This window comes from Homo sapiens, chromosome 15, assembly GCF_000001405.40.
Source record: "Homo sapiens chromosome 15, GRCh38.p14 Primary Assembly".
Classification (NCBI taxonomy): Eukaryota; Metazoa; Chordata; class Mammalia; order Primates; family Hominidae; genus Homo; species Homo sapiens.
Genome location: NC_000015.10, coordinates 60954271 through 60979398, shown reverse-complemented (window position 1 = coordinate 60979398; position 25128 = coordinate 60954271). Strand labels below are relative to the sequence as shown.

At 42.6% G+C, this 25128-nt stretch overlaps 1 protein-coding gene across 2 annotated transcripts in view, besides 1 other annotated feature; it reads left to right on the top strand.

Annotated features, from left to right (window-relative positions):
* RORA (RAR related orphan receptor A) overlaps nucleotides 1-25128 on the top strand; it is a 741019-nt gene that overhangs the window by 249904 nt on the left and 465987 nt on the right. The gene's annotated exons all lie outside the window — the stretch shown is intronic.
* Nucleotides 5367-6566: an enhancer, noted in NCBI's record as "MED14-independent group 3 enhancer chr15:61265032-61266231 (GRCh37/hg19 assembly coordinates)". NCBI's record gives its function as "activates an origin of replication core promoter dependent on BRD2, BRD4, P300/CBP and CDK7 cofactors, and independent of MED14, by STARR-seq in HCT116 cells {active_cell/tissue: HCT116}" and the evidence as "EXISTENCE:reporter gene assay evidence [ECO:0000049][PMID:35650434]".

Here is a 25128-nt window from a genome sequence, read left to right as displayed (position 1 = left end):
TGCTTTTTTGCAGTTGACCCTAAAATTCAAGCTGATCCTAAAATTCAAGCTGACCCTAAAATTCAAATGAAAATGAAAGGGACATTGGATAGCCAAAATATTCTTGGAAAAAAAAAAAAAAAAAAAAAAAGCAAGGGCTAGGTGCGGTGGCTCACGCCTTTAATCCCAGCACTTTGGGAGGCTGAGGCGGGTGCATCACGAGGTCAGGAGATGAAGACCATCCTGGCTAGCATGGTGAAACCCCGTCTCTACTAAAAATACAAAAAAAAATTAGCCAGGCATGGTGGTGGGTGCCTGTAGTCCCAGCTACTCAGGAGGCTGAGGCAGGAGAATGGTGTGAACCTGGGAGGCAGAGCTTGCAGTAAGCTGAGATCGCACCACTGCACTCCAGCCTGGGCTACTGAGCAAGACTCCGTCTCAAAAAAAAAAAAAAAAAAGAGCAAAGTTGGAGGACTCACACTTCCTGATTTCAAAACTTATTACAAAGCCACAGTTACCAATACAGTGTAGTGCTGATATAAGGATAGACATATGGACCGATGGAATAGAATTGAGAGTCCACACAGAAATACATACATGTATGGTCAATTGATTTTCAACAAGGGTGTCAAATGGGAGAGAAATTTCTCAATAAATGTTGCCAGGACAATTGGATAGCCACCTGCAAAAGAATAATGTTGGACCCTTACCTCATACTATGTACAAAAAAGGAATTCAAAATAGATGAAAGATTTAAATGTAAAATCTAAAGTTATAAATCTCTTAGAAAGAAACATAGGTATAAATCTGCAGGACTTTGGATTAGGCAATAGTTTCTTAAGTGTCACACCAAAAACATAAGCAATAAAAGAAAAAAATTGGTAAATTGGATTTCAACAAAACTAAAAACTTTTGTGAATCAATGGACACTACCAAGAAAGTGAAAAGCAACCCATAGAATAGGATAAAATATTTGTATATAGGATATTTTGTAAGAGATTAGTATCCAAAATATGTAAGAACTCTTGAAGCTCAACTACAAAAAGACAACTGAATCATTAAATTAAAATAAAATAGGCAAAGGGTGTGAATAGACATTTCTTCAAAGGAGATACACAAAAAGCCACTGCAAAAAGATGTTCATGAAAGAACACATGAAAATTATTCATTAGGAAAATGCAAATCAAAACCACAGTAAGGTACTACTTTATACCTACTAGGCTGGCCATGTTGATGATTGTGATGATGATGATGTTGATGATCTTGATGATGATGATGATGATGATGAAGAAAATAAGAAAGATTGAAGAAGATGTGAAGTAATTAGAACTCGTAATCATTGTTTGTGGGAATGTATAATGATCCAGCCTCTGTGGAAAACAGTTTGGCAGTACCTCAAAAAATTAAACATAGAGTTACCATTTGACCCAGCAGTTCCATTCCTAGGTATATATCCAAGAATTGAAAACATATGTCCACATGAAAACTTGTACATTGAATATTTATAGCAGTATTATTTGTAATAGCAAAAAAGTGGAAACAAACCACATGTCCATTAGCTGATCAATGGGCATGCAAAATCTGGTATCTCCATGCAGAGGAATATTATTCAGCTATAAAAAGGAGGGGAATACTGATACATGCTACCTCATGGATTAACCTTCAAAGCATTATGCTAAGAGAAAGAAGCTAGACATGAAATGACACATACAGTGTGCTTCCATTCATAGGAAATGTTCAAAATAGGCAAAGTCATCAAGATAGAAAATATATTAGTGGTTGCCAGGGGATGAAGGAGAGGGAATTGGATTGTCTGCTAACAGCTATGGGGTTTCTTTTTGGGGTCATGTTCTGGAATTAGATAGTCTTGATGGTCATACACAACTGTGAATACACCAAAAACTATTGAATTGTATACCTTAAAATGGTTAATTTTATATTATCGAATGGTATCTCATTAAAAAAACAGGAAAACCTTTCTTTTCATAGGAAAGCATTTAAAAATAAGTATAATTATATACTTACTTAAATGTAATTTGTTTTTAGCATAACATTTTATTTTTAAACAGAGGATCCTTTGTTAAACTGACGACTGACATGTGTTTGTGATTTCGTAAGGCTACAGAATACCATTCTTGCTTGTCTAATCTTATAACACTGAATTGCATTTACGACCCCCTCCCCACCAGTACCTCAAACTAAATATATAACATCTATGAGGGAAAACTTTGAGTCACTGTGATCTTGGAAAAATAATCTTATAATTTAATTGTTGGTGGCGCTATAGGTTTTTTTTTTTTTTTTCCCTCCAATCAGTTTTGAAACAACTTGGTAGAGCTTAGGTAACCACATACATTATTGCCCAAACAAGACGCTTTTCAGCATGGCAGTAGGTACTAATCATATGTGTGTCAGCACAACAGGCATAAACCAGACTGTCCTGGGAAACCCAGGACACATGGTCACCTAAACAGAAGTGATATTTACTTCCAGGCACAGACTCATAACAAATACTTGGTGTGCGAGCGAGGATTATTTCAAAGGTAATGGCTGCTGCTGTTGCTGCTGCAGGTGGTGGGTGAGCTGGGCCATGTCCTCCCTCCTAAGCCAAAAGAACTGGTGCAAGGGAAGCCCCTGCAATCCCTGCTCACTCACCAGGGTCAGGGTTTCCTTGGAGGTGTGGTGGGGGAGATAGGGATTTCTTATAATGGTTTTAATGAGCCCGTCTGGGGTCTCCTCCTGAGATGATTAGCACCTTCCCTGTCTTTTGCATCTAAGGACTTTGGGATTGACCAGGGCTGCCTTAGCTAACATTTGTCTCTTCATTATCAGCTGGTGTATTGGAGAGAGAAAATCCACGTGGTCTGATCAAACTGGCAGAATTGAAATGTCGCCGCTGATGCTGGCAGGCCTGGGCTTTCCAGACAAGCAGAAGGAGTGGGTCTAGAAGGATCCATCTTCAGTATGCTGTATTCTGGTCTGCATTTGCCTAAAGACACTTTGGAATTATTTAGTCTGGCTTCCTCATTTTATACAGGATTGTTCTCTTTTCTTTGTGGGCGATCTACTTAGCTTCCATATTATGCAGATGGGGGATGGTTTATTTGAGGAAAGAGACTTGCAGAACTGTTGGGTGAAAATCCAAGGGTTACACGCATTGAGTCCCGCAGGGCTGTTTGCTCCACCACAGGCTTAGGTAGGTGAGGATTCTAACGCCCCTCCTGCCAGCATCAAGTCTCCACCTGGCCAGGCCCACGCACTCCGAGCCACGGCTCAGCAATCTCATTAGTGAAATGACGATCTGCTGTCTGCTTCCCTGGGCTGAGTTGTGGATTAATTGCTCCACCTCCAGCAAAGTACCTTAAAGCAAGAGAAGTTACATGAGTCCTCCAGCTTATATGGCCCAAGCCAGTCCCTGCTGGTAGGTGAGGAGAAGAGATGAGTGTAGGGGGATCTGTGGCTCTCTGGAAAGGTCCCCTCCCAAGAAAACCTCACAAAATGCAAATGCCAACTCTTAGCTGAGAGTTGGAACTGAGATGTGGGTGTATGCACATGTATGTATGCACGTGTGCATGTGTTTAGTGTTGGTGGCTGTGAAGTAAGAGGGGACACATGTCAAGCATGTAAGAATCAGGGAACTCTGTTAGGGGTCTCCCGTTTCCTGTGCCCAGCCTAACACTGTATCAGTTATTTTCCATTCATTCACTCTTCATCCTCTGACTCCTCACACATACGCATGATTACCTTCACTTCCTGGAGAGAAGTGGAGGGCCCCAGAAATCCAGCTTAGCCTCCGAGGGAGAGGGGCTTTCAGTGAAGGTGACCCAGATTCCATACACTCAAGGCAAACATGTTCTGAATAGGACCCCACATGTTCATTTCAGTGTTCTCCAGAGTGAGTTCTAGGATCCAATTTTCTTACTGTTTTTTTAAGTCTGGCAAACTGAAAATGGACTTCTTCCAGAAGGTCTGTCAGAGCTCAAGCCTTACTTGACAAATCCAGGAAGATGCCTTGACAGTGACAGGACTCAGCCTGGGAAGGAACTTGGCAGACCGGGACACCTTCCTAGAATCAGGCACCCAGTACTCGGTTTGCCTGCTTTCTCTTTTCGGATCTCACTTCTAAAGCTTTGCATATCTTCACAATGTATGTTATGACGGATTGAAATTGTTTAGGCCCCCATTACTCCCTGCCCAGGCGACTTGCTCCCCAAGCCCTGCTAGGTGCAGCAGCTTCCAAGGGCATCTGTGCTCACCCTGCCCAGGCCCCTTCCGCCCTTGACTCTCTCCACAGTTATCTTTTTAAGACGTGTGCCTCATCATGCTTCTTCCCTTGTTGAAATCCCAGTAGCCTCTCAGCTCCCCTCCCATTCAGGAAAGATTCCGGGCTCTCTGCAGTCTGGCCTTGGCCCACCTGCCCAGATCCCACCTCTTCAGGTCCACACTTGTTCACCATGTCCAGCCGAACAGTGTTGCTTGCCCTTCCCCAGATGTGCCAGCCTTTCCCCATCCTCTTTTCAACGCCTAGGAAAGCCACCTCCCTTTCTTCACTGGCTGAATCTTTGTTTGCAAAGGTTCTGTAAGCTGTGAGGGCCCCTCCTTCAGGAAAAGTTACCTGATACGGTGGTCCCCTTGCCCCACGCTGGGGTGGAGGCTGTTCTAGGATGAGGCCAGGCCCTGGCATTTAAGTTGTATGATGCTGCCACTCATCTGTGGCTTTGGGGGGCCTTGTTTGGGATTTCTCTATACCTGTCCGCTTACAAGGAACCTGGCACAGACTCAGTGCACGTGGAATGAATGAGGCCTTTAGAGGGCTAAAACTCCAGAACAAATTTTTCATATATTTTGGCTCTTAAGGGTCCTGATAACTTAGGAGCCACAAAGAAAAAGCAGAGTGAATGACTTCCATTATCACCCCAGGGAGCTAATCACACTCTCCTTAGCAGGGCTTTGCTCCTCAGAACTACCTGGCTGGCTGTGTGAAGGGGAGAAATGGGTGAGGCAGCAATTTTTCCCAATGTATAGACAAGGAGCCTGAGAGGTGAAACAACTGAACTGAAATGAGCTGGCAAGGGGGTGCTGGTGAAGAGAGCTGCTTTGGGGTTCAGATACAGACACAGTCTTCATATTTCCTATGACAGCTCCCTTCATCAAAACCTGGAAAAACAGGAAATAACCTAAGCTCATTAGAGGACTCAGGGATGACTAATGGAGTTAAGCCTGGGGAGAATCTGATGCTCCTTGACGTGGGTTCCACGGGGGCCAGGGTGGGGGCAGGGGCATCCCTCCTCCTCTGTTGTCTGCAGACTTTCTTTAAATTAGTCTTCTTCATCTGCTCATTTACCCCCGGGATTCAAGGAGCAGCACATTAACTAATGAAGTCAATTAACAGAGGTTTGAAATGCAATGTCTTGCAACTCAGGTATGGATTGGATACAAAAGGTTTGGCCCCAGTGAAAAGGTGACAGTGTGCTAAAAATAAGCCCTGGTATAAAGTGATCCTCCATCAGCTAATTGCTAATAGGGTTTCCTTGTGTGGGGCTCCGCAGCCCCATGGCTGGGCCTAATTGGCGAGTCCAGAGGCAGCATTCATGTCTCCGACCCACGGTTACAGAAGGGAGTGATTGCAGGGAGCCTGATCGAGCCACCAGCCGTTCCCAGACCTTGAGTGCCAAGGTGAGTTTTCTCTTTGTTCTTCTTGAGGCCTGGCCCTGACAGTGTCACCTCCTCCCTGGGCCTGGCTACAAGGGTCGTGAGGGCAACTTCTGTTGTAAGCCGAATAATGTTAACAGCTGGGATGTGCCGTTTGTCAGAGGTCACCACTGTTACAAGTTTCAGAGTGAACATTTTTAGTAGAAGGTGAGACAGGAGAACTACTGCAGGCTACGCTTTGAGGCTGCAGACTTGAAAAACCAGAGCATTTTCAGAGCACTGGGCGAAGGCTGCTCAGCCACCCTGCCCGACCCTCATAAACCCTTTTAGCTCAGACAGAGCCCTCTGGGTGGCAGAGAAATTGGGTAGGTGGCAGGAAAAAGTCAGTGGCTCCTGAATCAGGAGATAAGCAAGTGCTTAAATACTGCTCATCCACCCAGGAGCTGGGCCACCTTGGGCAGGAAACTTCACCTCTCTGGGCCTCACGGTGTGTAGACTAGAATGAGGGTTCTCACAGATCTCACTCTGACACTGAGTGAACCTGTGATTTTAAGATGCCCTCAGGTTTCAGCATCTTTCATGTTCCTTTCCAGGACCCTCCCTACCTCTTTTTTCAACGTCTCCACACACCAAAATACATGGGGCTTAAATGCGTGTCCTCCCCATGCCCTGCTGACCAAACTGCCTCTACTTTTTGTTCTAATTCCGGATTTCCCATGAGTCATCGGATGACTTAGCAAAGTTGCCCCTCATTGATTGTTTTTTTTTTTTCTCCCAAATGCTTCTCAGTCAATTAAAGACCTCATCTATTAACTGAAGAGAGAAGGGGATCTTGAATGCATTCTGGCCAGGTATGCTGGAGTCAGGTATACTCAGGTCAGAGGATAATGATAATAGCAATTATAATACTAAGAGCCACAACTATTAAGAGAACTTATTCTTTTGTCAGTCCTTATGCTGACGAATCAACATGCTTTACCACATTTAAACTTCTCAAAATCCCTATGTAGTAAGTAATATTATTATTTCCATTTGATAGATGATGAAACTGAGCTTAGAAAAGTTGAAATGATTTTCCTGGGATCACACAGCCAGTAAGCATTGGAGCAGCATTTAAATCCAGACTAAACACCACGAGGCATTTTTTTTCTCCAAAGACTAGAGAAATTTTGGACTTTATTTTAAAATAGTGAAACGTGCAGTGAGACATGCATACACACACTCAGCCATACTCATAACGAACACTCAGCCATACTCATAACGAACAGGAGAATTTATGCATACCAGTGAGTTCCAAGCTTCAGTGTCATCACCTTGTAAGGTCAGTTTATGTGCTTGTTCCAACAGTATCACAGATGCTTGGTTGGGGAGTTTCTCCCGGGAGTGCTTCGTGAGCTACACACATACACATGCGTATTTTTATATCATAGCTGCAGCCTGCTCTTTATGCTGTTGTTGTCCTTGTTGTTTTGCCTTCCAGTGGTATTATTATTCCTTGTGCTCACATTATTTTTTCACCAGGCTTGACTCCAAGTGGCTCTTGATGGTTTCCAATATGCAAATCCAATCTACCCTTAAAGGAAGGATTTGCCAACATTCAATTGATCTGACTGGCTGTTTTTTCCCACTACTCCAATGGCTTACAAAATATTTGAGCAGTGGCACCATTTTTATTTTCTTCCCGGATCTCTTAGAGAAGCCTAATCTGTACAACAGATGAAGGCAGAGTGGCTGTGTTTGAAGCATGAATTCGGGAGGCATGACCCCATCCACTCTCCTCTCCCATTCTTGTTCTCTCCTTAGGCCTGGAGGGCCAAGGAAGCTTCAGGTTTCAGGGAATGCAGCTTGGGAACCACTGCCCTGGCCCAGACAGCCCAATGGTGGGAGGGCCAGTGTCAGGAGCTCCACACCCTCTCTCTGGCCCAATGTGAGCAAGTTCTGCCTGTGAACTGAAGGAACATCCACATCTCTCCTAAACATTCTTACTGGCCAAAAGGAAGGAGAATGTGACTCTTTAGTGAACACCTCCGCAGGGTCTTTCATCCACCATTCATGTCTGTAAAAGAGCTTTTAAGAGGTTTGCAGAAATGCTTTAAGAAAGGAAGAAAAGGGAGCTTGGTGGCTATAAACAGAAAGGTTAGTTCTGAGGTCGAGAATGATACAGGGGAAGAGGAAAAATATTTAAGGATTGCAATGGAGTGAGGAGAAGAATCACAGAGATATTAAGAAAAACCATACAGAGTGGGAATTTCCAGCAGCAGGGAAAAGCACGATATGTCTGGATCCAAGGCCAAATGTTGGACATCCGCATCCTCCGTGTGCCCAGCCACCCACTGCAGTTAGGGACATGCGGGCCTGGGAGTGGGGAGTGTGCACCTGCTTTGTGCTAGGCCATGGGAGACACCAGCAAGGACCCATGAGAGAGGAATTTCTCCCTTAAGGAACTCACTGTCTAGGAGGGAACATACTCAAACACTCTAAAGCAAAGAGGAAATCGGGAAAGGCAGTAGTGGAGATACAAATGCAGTGTTAGGGGAGTCCAGAGGAGGGCGGCTTCTGTAAAAGTGTCCAAGCCAAAGCTGAGTTTCCTCTAACACATGGCATGATGTCCCTTTCCATGCTTCAATATGGACTTTGGGTGACATTTTGGACTCTTCATATTTTATCTTCTCAAACTCATTTTGACTCCCTCATCCTAACTTAGTTCTCATCCAAAAACAAAGAAAGTACTTCTCTGTTTATGCCCCCAAAGGAAGTATAAAATTATGACTATGCTTTCTTCCAACATGAGTCAGTTGAACCCCTGCTATAAGTGATGATTGCACGTGGCTCAGGAATGTTTCTGTCTCTCTCCTGTCTGAATTTCACTGGAGCATAGGAAGGCCCTTCCATTTTTGCTTAATTGCTTCACAGTTCTTTTCATTTTAGAGTGTGATTTTCTTATACCTGAGACCAACACAAAGGGAAAAAAAATCTCTGTGATCGTCAAGGAAAAAATACACAACCGTATTAGTTTGGAGGGCCTCAGATAATTACTGGTAAGCTGGGGAGAGGGCTTTATTACCATATGAATATCATAAAACCAAGGGATACTATGAGAAATTGTTGGATCTAATCCTATGATTTACTCATTTTCTCAGCAGCCCAATGCTGTGAAACAGGTTTCAAACCAAGTTCCTATTTCCTCTTGTGAATCAGTCCCTTTATTCCAAATGGAATCTGAAACAGCTTCACCAAGGCCAGCAGTGGGGAGCATCTTCACTCTAGGCTTTGGACTTGAAACGAGGTCTTGTTGCATTCTATATCCCCAGGACCTCATACAATGCCTGGCACGCAGTGGGGACTTGCTGAAATAATGTTTGCGGAATTGAACTGATGATGAACAAAGGCAGAGAAGTGGGAATGTACAGGGTGTGTTTGAGGACAAGTGAAGCAATAGCTGACACTCGTTAAGCCTTTACTGAGAACCAGAGAGCATGCTGAGTACTTTGTTTCCTTCTCATTTAAACCTCACAAGACCTCCATGAGATAGGACCATTAGTATCCATTTTACAGATGGGAAATACCATAGACTGAGTGGCTTAAACAACAGCCATTTATTTCTTACAGTTCTGGAGGCTGAGAAGTGCAAGATCAAGGTGCTAGCAAGGTAGGTTTCATTCTGAGGCCTCTTTTGGCTGGTAGGCGGCTGCCGTCTGGCTGTGTGCTCACAGGACCTCTTCTTTCCCCGCTTCTTTTTGGAGAGAGAGAGAAAGAAAGAGAGTGCGCGTGCAAGAGTGCACATACATGAGCTCTCTGGTATCTCTTACGAAAACACTAATCCTATCAGATTCAGGCATCACCCACAGGACCACATTTAACCTTAATTACTTCCTTCAAGGCCCCATGAGTAAATACAGCCACAATGGGGCTTCCAAATATAAATTTGGAAGGGAACACAAACATTCAGCCCATAACAGGAAACTAGTGCAAGGTTGCAGAGCTAAGAAGTGTTGGAGCAGGAACTCAAACCCCCTCCCTTATGCTGAAAACCATGTACCTAACTGTGAGGCAGTACCACCATCGTGTATGGAGTGATAGCTTGGTGTGTAGAGAGGGATAGGATGCTGTCATCGGAGATAATGATGATCAGGCTGTCTGGGCTCAGATGAATCTAAAGACTGAATCTCTCCCTGTCTTCATCTCCTTCTCCATCCTGTCCACCAGCCACACTGAAAACCTTGCAGTTCCCTGAGGCTGCTGCATGTTGCCTGCAATCCTGTGAATATCCTTTGAATATAGGTGCTTTGGTCTACCTAGAGAAGTGGTTCTTAAGCATGGCTGCACATTAGAATCACCCAAAAAGCTTTTAAAAACCCAGAAGTCAGAGCCAGATTGAAGGGCCCACACTGGTCTCAAAGAAATAATGATAGTAACAGATTATAACCTAATATACAAAATAGGAAACCATGATTTCCTGTGATACAGATTATTACCTAATGAATTGATAGTTTGATGACAAAGTATTTACATAATTTCAAAGAACTCTGCAAAAAGGACTTATTAATTACAAAAGGAAAATGAGTACATTTACAGTGGAGAAGCTTGACAGTCTCCACCTTGATCAAGTGACCCAAGTAAACATCATTAGTAATGGGACACACAGAAACCATGGGCCACTTCATAGGGTACAGTAAGAAGTTGCTACTGAGATAGTCCTGCCAAAGATGTACAGCTGCATCTAATCACGAGGAAACATTAGACAAATCCAAATTGAGGGACGTATTTTAAAATAACAGTCTTGTAATCTTCAAAAGTGTTAAGGTTATGAATGTCAAGGGAGGCCTGATAAACTGTTTCAGATTGAGGAAGAAGAGACATGACAACTAAAGGCAGCTTGTGATCCTGAACTAGATCATTTTGCTATCAAAAACATGATGGGTACATTTGCCAAAACTTGAGTGGTTGTAATGTACTGATGCGAATTTACTGATTTTGATGTTTATATTTTAGTTATGTAGGAGAATGTTCTTATTTGTAAGAAAATACACTACAAAGAAAGATGGGACATCAAGACAACAAATTACTCTCAAATGGCTCAGTTAATAAAAAAAAAAAAAAGATTTATGTTGTGCTTGCAACCTTTCTGTAAGTTTGACATTTTTAAAATACAAACACACAGACAAAATCCCTGATATCCAGTTTGTATACAAAACCAATTAAATCACAAACTCCAGAGAGGAGACCCAGGCTTGAGTAGCTGTTGGAGCTCCCAGTTGATTCCAGTGTGAGCCTGGGTTGGCCCTATTAGCCCATTTTCAAAGTATGGTCCCCAAACCAGCAGAATTAGAATCAGCAGGAACCTTGTTAGAAACGAAAATGTTCTGGCCCCACCCCAGATTTCCTGAATCAGAAACTCTGAGGGTGGGACCCACAATTTGTAATGCACCAAGGTTTTGGTGCATGCGTATGTTTAAGGACTATTGGCTATAACCTTCCTTGCTCCCCTTCTGTCCATATTTGCTCCCAAGTGCCCTTCCAGAGTCAGCTCAGCAGGTTTCCAGTCCTGGGGCTCCCTCAATACCTTAGAGTGCATCTCAGAGTTTGGGAATTATCTGTTTACGTCCTGATCTCCCCAACCAGGGTTAGTCCAAAGCTCATTCACACAGTCTCTGGAATAGCGTAAGCACCAATACATATTTATTATTGGTGCTTAAGTTGATGCTTATCGAATGAATTGAGGGACTGGCCGTGATGTTCAGTGGTGTTTCCCCTGTGCCACATTTTAGCTTCATTTGCATGCCCTTAAGAGGCATGCACTGATATGTTTCAAGTGTGTTCTGTGATGGGAGTTTGATAAGGGGCTCTGTGGAGGCAGGGGAGATGGCAAGCATTTGTAACCACATTCAGAAGCACCCCCGCCTTTCTGGAACCAGTACTGAAGCCTTTTACTAAAAGGTGCCTGTGAGCGGCTGGGCTTTCTAATTAAACCAGATGGACTGGATGATAGCTGATTAGATTCCTGACTTACTGATCTGCCTTCTATTTACTCACATAAATACGTTGATGAACCAGAAGTCATCTCATTCAGGAAAAGCACCTCACTGAATATTTTTAGAAAATTAAACTTTTATGAATGACCCAGACTGTGAGCAGCTCAAATGCCAAAGTCTGTTTCCTATGGCACTTGCATGGTTGAGCTATCAGCAGGGGGACCATGAACAAGTTTGTTTCTGCAAATATGTGCCAAAACAACAGCAACAACAAATTACAGGCCCGTCAGTCATTTTGGATGGAGAGGAGCACGTCATAATGATAGACATAACCAGGGACATGGGCACTTCTTTGCTTTAACTGCTTCTGTCCCTCCTAGCTCCATTCGATGTTGTCACATTTTGTTGATGCTGATTCCCAATTCAAATTCTCTGTTAATTGGTAATATTTGGGGGTAGGGGTAATGAAGTAGAGGCTAAAAAGAACACATGATACGTGAAAACATATATTTGTAAACATGCATATAAATATGGTACATCTGTCAATGCATAAATATATATGCCGATGTATAACAAAAATTATATGTCATATGCTTTAAAAAATCTACAAAAAATATTTAAGTATCTATATACATACACAAATAGCAAGGACTTAAAGTCATGATGTGTCTTGAGGAACTCTTAACTTCAGGTTCTGCTACTAATTAGAATCTATCTCCATGCCCTGTAGAAGATAGGGAGTTGGTCCCAGTTGGACTCATGGATAATCATTTTGGGTAATGCACTGCTTTAGGGTATTTCCAGGATCATTCTGCTGAGGTGGCAGAAGAGTGGAATATCCTAAAGCTATGACACCGATTCATGGCCCTGCAGAAACATCATGGCAGTTGAGAGTTTAAACCTCAGTCCCAAGTTGCTCAAATTGGCTTTGACAGTGAAAATTGGTGCTGAGCTGGACCGACTTCCTTGGCTAAACTGTATAATCAGAATTCTATTCAATCACACTTAAAGAGTATTTTGACTGCCTGTTGTTGCTAGCATGTGTTTACTTCTGTGGCTGATGCAACATATTTACAACATACCAGGTTTATCAGAAATGTAGAAGCATTCTCTCTTACAGTGAAAGCCAAGGTCAGGTTGTTCTCTAGAAAGAAGGCCAGTCTCTGGAAGGTCAGAGGGATGTAATCCCACTGTGTAACATTCTGGTTACTTATTCATTCATCTAATACATTCCTACCATGTGCCAGATATTGTTCTAGGATTAGCACTGGCTCCCAAGAAAGGTACAGTCCCTTCTTTCTTGGAGCTTACAAATTTTAAATATTAAGTCAACTAGCCATTAAGTTTTGTGAAAACAGAAATGAATCACATTGGTGGAATGTGCGAGCCAGCTGGGAAATAAAACTCATCTTCCAGAAACCAATCAGAAAGCCATGTCTAGAGAGTATTATTATGAGTTGAATTGTGTCCCCTCACCACAAAATTCATATGTTGAAGTCCTAATCCCCATACTCAGCATGTGACCATATTATAGATAGGGTCTTTAAAGAGGTAATTAAGTGAAAAGAAGTGACTAGGGTAGGTGCTAATCCAGCAGGACTGATATCCTTATAAGAAGAGGAAATGTGGATACAGAGAGAAGGTGATATGAAGAAAGAGGGAGAAGATGACCATTGAGTGGCCAAGGAGAAAGGCTTAGAACAGACCCTTCCCTCACCATCCTCAGAAGGAACCAGGTCTGTGGACTTCTTGATATCAGACTTGTAGCCTTGTGAGGCAGTAAATCTCTGTCATGTTAACCACTCAGACTGGGTGGTTACTTTGTTATGGTTACTTGGTTATGGCTGCCATACTCTATTACGGTAGCCTTAGCAAACTAATACATATATATTAAAATTCTAGCACATGGACAGGGAATGGACTGGCCTGATTGGGGAGGGTTCGTAGTAGGGTCATAAGTGTGAGACAGGGTGAAGGTTTGGTCAGGTTTTGAGTAGAGAAAGAGGTTGGCATAATTAGTGTTTCAGGGAAAAAAGAAAATTAAAGAAACCAGTGCTTGGGGAGAAAAATAGCGCTTGCAAACAGAGAAATCAAGTTGCAACCTTCTTTGCATCTTAATAGCTTCATCAATGTGAAAGAGGCTTCTGCCCTCTCCAGAGGACTCATTCCCCTTGATGTCATGTTTATTGAATTGTCTTGTTTTACAAAGATGTAAAATGGCTTTGTGTTGGGCTAGTTTCTTCTTCTGCTCAGATATATTAAGTTCTTCCAATGTGAGACTCTCTGTGTCTCATGTAATTATACAGTTAGGCATTTCCTTAATGCTGGAATTTAGTTTTAAGCCCAGTGTACAGAGACCATTGCTAATTCTACATTTGGATTTGGGCCCTGACTACTGGGCCTTGGGACAACACCAGGACACTAACTAGGTGGTGAGAGAAGCAACAGGACTGAGAAGAGGGTGATATTTTGCCATTTGTGTTCTATTGCTGGGATGCTCTATGACAGGGTATTGAAAAATGATGCTGGGAAGGAAGGGTGGACCATGAGCTCCAAGATGTCAAAAACTGGTGGCGGGACATGGGGCTTCCACTGGTGCTGATGGGCTTAAAGATCACTGCAGTACCCAAGGCCCATAATACCCTAGTCCTGTTGGACTAAGAAGGTATCTTCATTGAGGGATAACTTCATCCTATAGTTATCTCAGAATCTCTAGAACCTAATCTATGCCTGGTTCATCGTTGGCACTCAATAAATGTTTGCTACAGGGAGGGAGAGAGCAAGAGAAGCTTCTCTTTGGTCCAGGGAACATCCCCATAGCATAATTAGTATGGCGTAATTCAGTGCAACTTATGGTTCCCAAGAGTCTCAAACAAGAGCTCTCCTTACCCACTGCCCCTGCACCACTGCTTCTCCCAGAAGGGTCACTTGCATATGCTTCTGAAGCCATCCTCTCAGTGGCCACTCCAGCCACCACTTCCCTTTCCTCCCACATCAGCAACTGTGGCGCTCTTTGCCAAAGGGCTGCAGTGATTGAAGACAGACAGCAGTGTTCTCAACTAGTTCCTCCCAGTGCATTCATAAGCTCCCTTGGCAACTGCTCAGGCCACAGTGTGCTGTGCCAGCAGGACATCTCACCCCAAGTCTTGCTGGCTGTACTCACCTGCATTTGCCACAAGGCAGCACTGCCCTCCCTACACTCCCCAGGGCCCTGGAGTATTTACTAGCCATCTTATTCTGTCTCTCCCCAGGACTCAGGTATATGGCTACAAGGAAAGGAGCAGAATGAAATCTTAGCATGACCCTCTCCCCTCTGCTCCATCCCCACCCTCACACTATTCCTCTCAAGACTCATTCTTTTCAGAGGAGGGCTTTCCCAGGAAGCACCCTAGAGCCTCCCCAACCTTCCACCAGCCATACCCGAATCCTAGGGTGAGTAGCAGTAAGGCTCAAACTGGGATCTCTGCTTCATAAAGAAATGGGCTACCCAGGGGTATCCTCTTCATCTGGACACCACACCTCATCTTATACAGATAGGCATATTAATGCCTCAGGCACCAAAAATATTCCATAGAGCCCCAACATGGCTTCAACAGAATGGGAAAACCATTCAGGGGTAGGAATCAGATGAACTTCTACTTGAAACCAGACTATACCACTTACCAGCTATGTGACCATGGTCAAATTATTAAGACTTTCTGGGCTATGGTTTCCCAGTCTATTAAATGAGATGATTCCTATCTTACAGGACAACAGGGGTTTTATGTGAGAGAAAGTGTGAAATGAAGGTACACTGCTGCCTGCAAATAAGAGGTGCTAAATCCACCTTGCTTTTCATGTCTCTCCATTCCCTTAAGTTAGACATAAGGAATAATTTGATATAAATCTTTGGCTTTAAGCCACCCACTGATGAACCTCCCCTTGAATATCCCAGCCAGAAAGCTTGTGAAGAGTTCCTACTGTGGCTAGGATACTGCAGAGGAACCTGAGCTTGTTCATGTTAGCCAGGGCTGAAATCCACACCTGTCTGCCAGAGTCTCCTGGAATGTGCTAGCAGAGCTAACTGGGCCATTCCCGCTGAGTTCTATAGCATTTAGTAGAACACTTTCATCAACACATAGTGCTCAGAAAGGGCTTCAGATGAAGCTGAGGGGGATGCCTTCAGCAGTCAGGTGCACAGGAGCAGAGGAATGCAAGGGAAACCTCACAAATAAGTGCAATTTCTTTATTGGCTTACCCCGTCCAGGAGGCCAAGGGGCCACAACCTAGATAATGCCAGCATCCTTTCCACCACCACCCAGATAATTGCTCTAGGCCCAAGAGAAATTAACATAAACCTCTGTAGGTTCCCTGCAGACTTGGCCCTTTTCAACCATTGCTTCCATCATCCACCTCCATCATTCCTCATCTCTGCTATTCAGGCCTAAGACCTCTGCTTAGTCAACAGTGCCTTATGACCCATGCCTCAGGCCTGTGCTCTGCAACAGGGGCTCCCCTGCACCATCTGCACATTCTAACTTCTATGCCTTTGAGCAGTTAAGAGCACACACTTTAGAATCAGAGCTGATCTTACCCATTGGCTATTCAGCTTGGGGGCAAGTCATTTACCCTCTGAAAAGTTCAATTTCTTCGAAGCGTAAATGGGGATAGTCATATCTGCCTCATAAGCTTGAGAATTACGCTATGTACCATGCATATGCATGTAGAGCATCTGAGTGTCTGGTACACAGTATGATTGCTGCTTATAGGCATCATGGTAGTAGGAACATAGAGGTGATTAGATACATTTACTTAAGCTATTTCCCTTGAAAGTAATACTCTCTTCCTACCTTTTAAAACCCTACCTATTTTTCATGACCACAAATGGTACCACCTCCATGTTGTCTTCCCAATCTCCTGCAACCACTTACTTTGAACATAAGGTGCACCTATTTTCTATGACTTCCTTGGCCTTTATCTCTTGCTACCAATTCTTCTGAGCAAGGCTTGTGTTTTCCCAGTTTGATTGTCAGCCCTTTCAGACAAAGACCATGCCACCACTCTCAACAGAGTGTTACAACCCTTGGCTCCTGGGGACCATGATTTTCAGTGAAGAGCAACATTCATGTTTGGGCAGGTGGACGTGTTCAGGCTGCCAAGTGTTCATTTTATGGTCTCTAAAATGGTGTGCTAATGTTTCAAGGACAGCTCTGAAACAGCTAGGGTAAAGTGGAGGAGAGCGGGGAGCAGTCCAGCCTCGACTAGAACTCTAAGTGGCATGTCGAGGGGCTGCTCTCAGAAGAAAACAGCTTCTTTGGTCTGTGCATTCCTTTTGGGACCAGGTAAATATTGTTTAAGATGAGTTTGGGAATTTCCAGGTTGCCTGAGACACTGTCTGAGAACCTTCTTAGTACTTGGTTCTGACAGCAAGTGCTGAAGCGGAAAAAATATTTCCATCCATCTGCACTAATCTCTTGTTTCTCTAGCAGTTAGAAAGTGGGGAGGGGAAATGAGTTAAAGGCTGCATCAGGAAAAAAGCTGAAGAGCCAGGCTTACGCTCGGTCTGTGCCAGGTCATTTTCTAGTCAGGACAGGAAATGCCAAATTTCTGTAGCTATTGGGTGGAGGTGCTGGGAATATAATCATTTGCACTGTGATAATTGAAGGCATTGAAGAAGAAAGCTCAACTTTAAAACTTCCAGAAAAGCAAAGATACTCGGAATTCAAAGCAGCTCACTCTCACTCTCTCGCCTCGTGGTCACAGTAAGAAGAAAACAGCACTCGGTCAGGACCGGGGCACCTTTCAATGTTCCAACAGAATCTGCCCATCTGCAGCTCATGCACTGGGCCAAACAAATACAAACCCCAGCACCTTTCACATATATATTCGCAGGCCTTCCGTGTTTATATGTCTAAACCCAGCGCATGTGGTGCCTGTGTCAGTTACTGTTTTCAGGCTGGGACCCCAGGAACCATAAACCTGATGAGGGCTTTGTGCCTACATTCAGCTATACAATCTGTGTCTCATTACACTGCCCATCAAGTTAGCATGTGCTTGTGTTGGCTTGAGCTGGCGGTTCTCAGTGCTCCTGGAGGCCGGCCAGGTCGACAACATATATCGGTGGATTAAACTATTAAAGCCATAATGGCTTCTTTCCCCTCTTCCTCCCTCCTCCTTTCCTTTGGCCCATTCAGAGCCGGGAAAGTCTTTCAAAGGAAAGAGGCTCCTGCCCATTCATATCTTAGGCCAAATTTAAAGTAGCAGCTGAGACGCTTTATGGCAACACAAGTGTGGTTACTTCATATTATCGGCACTTGACTTTTAAGTCTCTGTCACGTATATCAATGGGTGATAAACATTTTCTTCTTGTTACCTTTTTTTATCTTTGTGAATCTTGGCTTCAAGGACCAGGTGTACCTGTATCTCAGGTGGGAAGATTGAGGCTGGAGCAATGCCTTTATAGGACCATCAGAGAACTCTTCTGTGAACAGATTTCTGTTGTGCATGATGTACCTTTTACATCATGCAGGGCATTGTAGCAGATATAGGAGTTATGCTTTATTTGGTCCCCAGCTTCAGGTGACTAACAGTCCAATCAGAATCCATGCACACAGAGATCAGCATGACACAACATGAGAAAAGAAATGTTATGTGGGGAAGTGTAGCAAATGGAACGGCCAGGTGAGAGGCCAGAGAGATCTAAGAATGTCCTGAAGGAGGTGAGATTTGCCCTTGACCTTGATGGAGTGGTCAGACTTGGGAAAGAAGATGAATAAAGCCTATATAAACTGAGAGTTAAGAGTGAAGACTGGAGACAGATGGCTTTGGCTTAAATCGCAGTTCTGCTGCTTGCTATCTGTGTGACCTTGGGTAAGTTACTTAACCTCAGTTTCCCAGTTATGACATGGGAATGATAACAATGGTGTCGGTCTCTTGGGTTGCTTTGAGGTTATTTGAAATAATACCTGTAAAGCACACAGCTAAAAAGGAGGAATGATGGTGGTGATGCAGGGAGACCAAAGAGTGAAACAGTCTAGAGTGAAGCGAATGTGTTAAAATCCAGAGGCGATCAAGTGAAGCCAGCCTTTGGAGGCCCGTAGAAGTCATTTGGAGGAATTTGGACTTCGTGCAGTAGGAAAGAGGGAAAACTGTTTTTAGAAAAAAAAAAAAAAAAGATTTGTGTGCCAAAGTGTAACATGATGAAAATGGATTTTAAGGAGAAACTGGTGTGTCTGCAATTCATCTCTCCTGATCGTGTAACTCTCTAGTCGCTGCCCCATTCAGTAGATCAGCTGCACAGACTCCTAATTAGCCATTCCAGTAGGCCAAAGACTATTTTTTGAGCAGGTATTTTCTTTTTAATCAGATGGACAATTGTATTGCCTAAATCTGTGTCTATCTCAAGTGCTATCTCAGCTGCTACTTCCTAAGAGAGTCCCCCACCTTTGAGGATGGTTTCAGGAGAACAAGTAGAAATGGCTGGCTCATTTGCTTGTAGAGGTTGTCTTTGCTACAGGAATTGCATGAGAGCACCATGCTTGTTAAATGTGCCAGCCGTAAGCTAATGATTTTATGATAAAGATTCTTCTTTAACATGTCTCTATGGCATCATGTAATTTTGGAGTGGGAAGGGACCACAAAATCAATCTAGTCTTTGTAGCAATGAGAGGGAGGTAAAGCCAGGTGGCTGTGTAAACCAGGAAGTGTCCAGAACCTCATATCCTAGTTTCAGGCAATTTTTTTCCTCATTCCACACACACACAAAAAAAATCCTGTTTTCATTTATTTAGGGGGTTTCAAAGGAAAGTTTTACAATCTATACTGGCTATAGGGAAGTATAGAGGATACCTCCTCTTGCATGGCAAGCCCGCACCCTTACCCCAAGGCCAGGAAAGAGAGATGAGAAGGAGGCCACAAGTGCTAGATGGGAGAGGAATTGAGAGATTTTTCACAGATATGTCTCTACCATAAACCTTTATGGCAAAACAAAACAAAACAAAAAAAAGCCTTCTCTGGAGGATCATGGGATGCAGCAGTAGAAGAACCTTCAGGACCATTTAATCCGGTGTTTTTTCAAATGCGTCCTACCAGTTTCCCAGGGTGTTTAAAGGTGTCACACTTCATGGCCCACTAAATGTGGAAATGATGACTTGAAGGACACTAATATGTCTGCATCTGGAGTTTCAGGCTCTTTAATATGCTCCCATTAGCACGGTGACTCTCCAAGAAAGGATACAAACATGAGCCATATCTATAGGATTTGTTGTTGTTGTTGTTTATTTTTGTAAAGAACCCTTTTATTTTAAGGCTCCTGGAAACATCTTTCAACATTTGTGTGTTTCAGGACACACTGATGTTGCCTAATACGTTAGTTTAAAGATAAAGACATTGGAACAAAGTCACTATCAGGTACGTGGTTGAACTAGGACTCCAGTAAGCCCTTCCTTCAGAGTGCTAGAATTTAGACTAGTCAGGCTAAGATGCCACATACTTGAAATTATTTGAATGTTTCAGGAAAATGATTTTTTAATGTATATTTTGTTAGATCTCTTTGGGTCAGTTTCCTACTTGTCACTCTGTTACACTGAGTCAAGCAGCCATAGTCCTCTGTCCAGTAGACATAAAAGCAAGGAAAAGAAACAATTTCTATTCCTCTTACACAAAAGTACCTAATGGCAATGGCTGTACCAAGCAAGCTGGTAGTTCTAGCTTTTGAAGTTTCCAAAATTCTACAGCCTTGGAATATGTCCATAAGGATCTCTTTGCAGGTACAACTTTAATAGGTGTGCAGTTTTCAGACTTGGATGGTGTTTGAAGAGTTTCGATGTCTGGCTTGTTGGCAGAGAGTTGGTTGCTGGGACTCTTGCTCTTCTGGTGCAGAGAGTATGGGCCATTGCCTCTGTGAGGTCTTCCTTGCCAGCCACCTAAGAATGTGCCTGAGCCAAGTTGCTGTGCAAACCTACTGAGTGGACGTCTCAGATTGTGCCATATCCTGACCCACAATCAAGAATCATCTTCCCACAGGACACATTCCAAATGTACTTTCCATACATTTTTGTGGATGGTAGATTTTCTTAATGACAGCCACGGCTGCCATTATTTCTTAGCTGTCAGTCACCAGATTAGGCATTTTCCATGCGTTTTATTTCCTTTATTATTCACAACAATGGTTGCTAAGTCTCAATTATTTGACCTTGAATAAGATACTTAATTTCTCTGTGCTCCAGTTTCCTCATTTTTAAAACAGGGATAAAATTCCAGCCTCCCAGAGTGGTTGGGAAGATTGGGTATAATCGAATGAGCATCTACGCTAGGCAATTAATATACAGTTATTCAGTTTCAGGGGCAAAATTTATATTATATGGGATATTATAAAATCCCACTTTCCTCTCCACCTCTAGGCAAGGCAGTTAAGGCATAAATAATATTTTAGACAGTCATATGTTTTGGTAAGGGGGCAGTGGACCACATTAGCCTGCTAAATCCCTAATGACTCTCCAGGGCAGCTTCTTATCAAGATGAAATGGAATTTGATGCTCCATGCACGCAAAGGCTCAGGTAATTTGAATCTGGTGTTTAATCCAATATGAACATCCTTTGTATAAAATCTCTGCCATCACCACTTTAGGAAAATTAATATTTATATCAAACATCTTCTGTAATGAGATATGAACTTTTGCCCACCAAAATTCTAGCTCAGATTTTAGATTTGTGTGCTCCCATAGTCAGGTTTCTGAATAATTTATTTATCCAATTGAAGAAATAAAGTAGACGAACAATTTCAAAGGAGACATTGAATCAAAGCAGTTGGCTAATTATTCTCATTTCAAGGTATCCTGGATTAGGGAAAAAAAAAAAGACTCTGAAATCAAGCATGCCTCATAGGTCATTTTGAGTATTAGTTATGTTTACAAAGCTCCTTATAGGATAAATCATGGAAAGTACGGGACATAATATGATTATATTTGGGGACCAAGTATTTATATTTGAGAAGAAAATGTAGCAGTTCACTAGGATAATTAACTCTTTTAGAACAGTCTCTATCTTCTTTATGTTCTTCTCTTTTCTGTCATACTGTCCCCCCTTTCTCTAGCTAACTAGCTCTTACCCTTTAAGATTAGGTGTGACCTCCTCCAGGAAGCCTTCCTGACCTCCAGTCAGGCTATTTCAAAATAATTAGTATATGTGCATCTCTGCCTCACTGAACTATAGCCCCCTCAGGGACTGAGCAAAGTGTTCTTTCCAACATTATTTACCAGGCACAGTGATTGTCACATATTAGGTGTTCCATAAGCATCGACTTAATGAAAATAAATCCTGGGACATTAGGCCTCACTGTTGCATTGTGTTTGAGGAGGTACGTGTTGTCACAGAACTGTTGGAACAACAGCTACAATCATAGCCCTTGCAGTTACTAGTTCTTCCATGCTGAAGGATGACAGGCACAATGGAGTCCTCACCTGCCTTTCTTGGCAAAGTTCCTGAATGTGGTTGCTGAGAGGATTTTAGTCTTTTCTCTGCAGTGAGAATGTGGGCTGAATTCACATTTTTAAAGCACTCTTATAGCCCGCAAAGTGTCTATTTCAGTATAAGTGCATTGTAATAATACCTTACTTGAACGCATATTCTAATACAGTTACTTATCATTCTACCCGTCTGTCTCCTCCATCGTCTTGACTCATTTTTGAATCACCACTGTTTAGCACAGTGCCTGGCACTTAGGAGGCACACTGCCAACAGGCTATGAATGAATGAGTGAATGAATGGACTACCTAGTGCCTTCCCTTCAGCTCTCACCTGACTTATACAGCAGCACTGTGAGGCTGATAGGACAAGAGTGATACCATTTCATAGATGCAGAATCTGGCCATCAGAAAGATTCGAAAACTTGCTCCTGATCTCACAGCTGATAAAGGTGGGACCAAGACTCACACGGAGGACCTCCAGTGCTTGAGCTATGTCCCTAACTCACAGCTTCCTCTACAATTTATAATAGACTGGTATGTACTGATAATTGAAAGGATGAGGGGGCCTACTAAGATACTTTTCTGAGGACAGAAAGAGTAATCATTGTAACAGTAATAGCTATTTATTGAGTCCTTAAGATGAGTACTCAATAAATGCCAAACACTTCATATAAGTCATCCTAACAAACTAATATACTGCTAAGCAGCTATTATCGTTACTTGCATTTTATACATGAAGAAACCAAGACACAGAATATTTATGAAACCTGTGCATCATCACAGAGCTAGTGCATCGTACAGACATGGTTTGAACCTGGGTGGTTTGGTTCAAAGCTCCTATACTTTCCCATTCTGCTATACTTCCTCCCCTAAAAGACCAGTTTTCTTTTAAATTGTCATTGTTTTCTAGCAGGTCTTGCTCTGTGAGCAGTTTTGACCTTGGACAAATTACCTGTCTTACCTGGGCGTCTGCTTCCTGATTTGTAAAATGAAGAAATTAGTATCTACCTTTTGGAATTGCTGTGAGAATTAAATGGTAATACATGAAGAATATGTTTTGTAAACTATAAAGCATTATACAAATTAAAGTTATTACTGCCCAGTGGAAAAAAAAAACAAGTCATTGTAATAATAATTTGTTTGAACAAGTGTTTATTGAGTTCATACTGTGGGCAAAGCATGATCAAAATAAGAGAAATAATTCTATTCATCACTGAACTTCATGCTATTAAATTTCCAGCAAGAGAATCTGCTTGCCCTGCTTCTTTTTGTTACAAACAGGCTGGTGAAATTATCTAACCAGAAAGGAAACAAAACCAGGTAAAGCAATCTTTTTTAAAATTGTGCCAGCGATTACAATGTTGTTCATTATTTTCTAACTGTTTTCAATAATATACCATCCTGCTCAAAAGCTTTGTCTACCGCTTTGCAATTTCAGATGTCATCTGACCTCTTTGCAGAATATACGTCTATAAAGTGTCCTTTTCTCAGTGGAATACACAAAATGGATAAACTAAAAAAATGTTGGAAAGCAGCAAGGAAGAACTAGAGAGGCGTTGGGACTGTCAGGATTGGAAGTCAGCATTCTTGTTTGGGCCTGACTCCTCTTGCTCCACCCTGGCTCTGTGACCTTGAATAGAGCATATATGGGGGCCAAGTCTCCATTTCTTCTCCAGCAAAAGACAGCAGTTGTAACTTTGTAAAAATCGACTCACAAAATCTTTTGCACTGTATAAATGTGAGTTCTTATTGTGTTGAATTCCCAAGAATATTTAGCATCTTTTGAAAAATATTTGTATTGCATTTAGAACCAGGAATTTTTAAAGACATGAAGTCAATGCCAGGGTAACCTTATGAATGACAACAATTGGAGGTCTTATGGAGGTCTGCCTGATATTTATTGAGTACTTACTATATAATGAAATATACTATATGTTTTGTATGTATTATCATATTTCCTAATGTTCATGAGTACTTTAAAACGAGACAATGCCAGCAATCTTGAATAACACATACACGTTACAATTATTTTTTTGTTTGTTTGTTTTTGAGATGGAGTCTTGCTCTGTCACCCAGGCTGGAGTGCAGTGGCACAATCTCGGCTCACTGCAAACTCCACCTCCTGGGTTCAAGCCATTCTCCTGCCTCAGCCTCCCCAGTAGCTGGGATTACAGGCATGCATCACCACACCCAGCTAATTTTCGTATTTTTAGTAGAGGCGAGGTTTCACCATGTTGGCCAGGCTGGTCTCGAACTCCTAACCTCATGATCCACCCACCTCGGCCTCCCAAAGTGCTGGGATTACAGGCATGAGTCACCACGCCCAGCCTTAAGATGGATTTTTAAAAAGATACAAAACCCATGTTAATGTGGTAAGTCAAAGCAACACATAACTGGAGAAAAATGCCCAGTTTTCCTCAGTAAGTATGTATTGAGTCATCCAGTCTGTCATTACTGGATGACTGCAAAGAGGAATAAAGCAAGTCCATGCCCTCAAGAAGCTCACCATCTGCCCAGAATGTAATGAGAGCTGAATGAGGCCCTTCAAGTGCTTGGAGAGCTCAGCAAAAATAACTGGTCTTGGAGTCTAGGGAATCATTAATTTTAATGGCAAAAACTGTAATTACTTTTGCAACAACCTAATAGTTCAAGAAGATTTGGCATTTCACTTGAAACTTCAAGGTTTAATAGAATTTGCCCTTGAAGTTTTTGGCAACAGGCTTCTTTCACTTTTGTTAAATCCAGTAGAAACCCCACATAGGTCAATAGGTGATGAATACCAAATCCACTGGGGCCCAAACAGGGCACTCCTCCATAAGACAGACCTCCATAAGACAATTGCTTTCACCATCCACTTGTAAAGATTTTACTCCCATCTCACATTTATGGGAAGTTCTTTTTTTTTTTTTTTATACTTTAAGTTTTAGGGTACATGTGCACATTGTGCAGGTTAGTTACATATGTATATATGTGCCATGCTGGTGCGCTGCACCCACTAACTCGTCATCTAGCATTAGGTATATCTCCCAATGCTATCCCTCCCCCCACCCCCCACCCCACCACCGTCCCCAGAGTGTGAT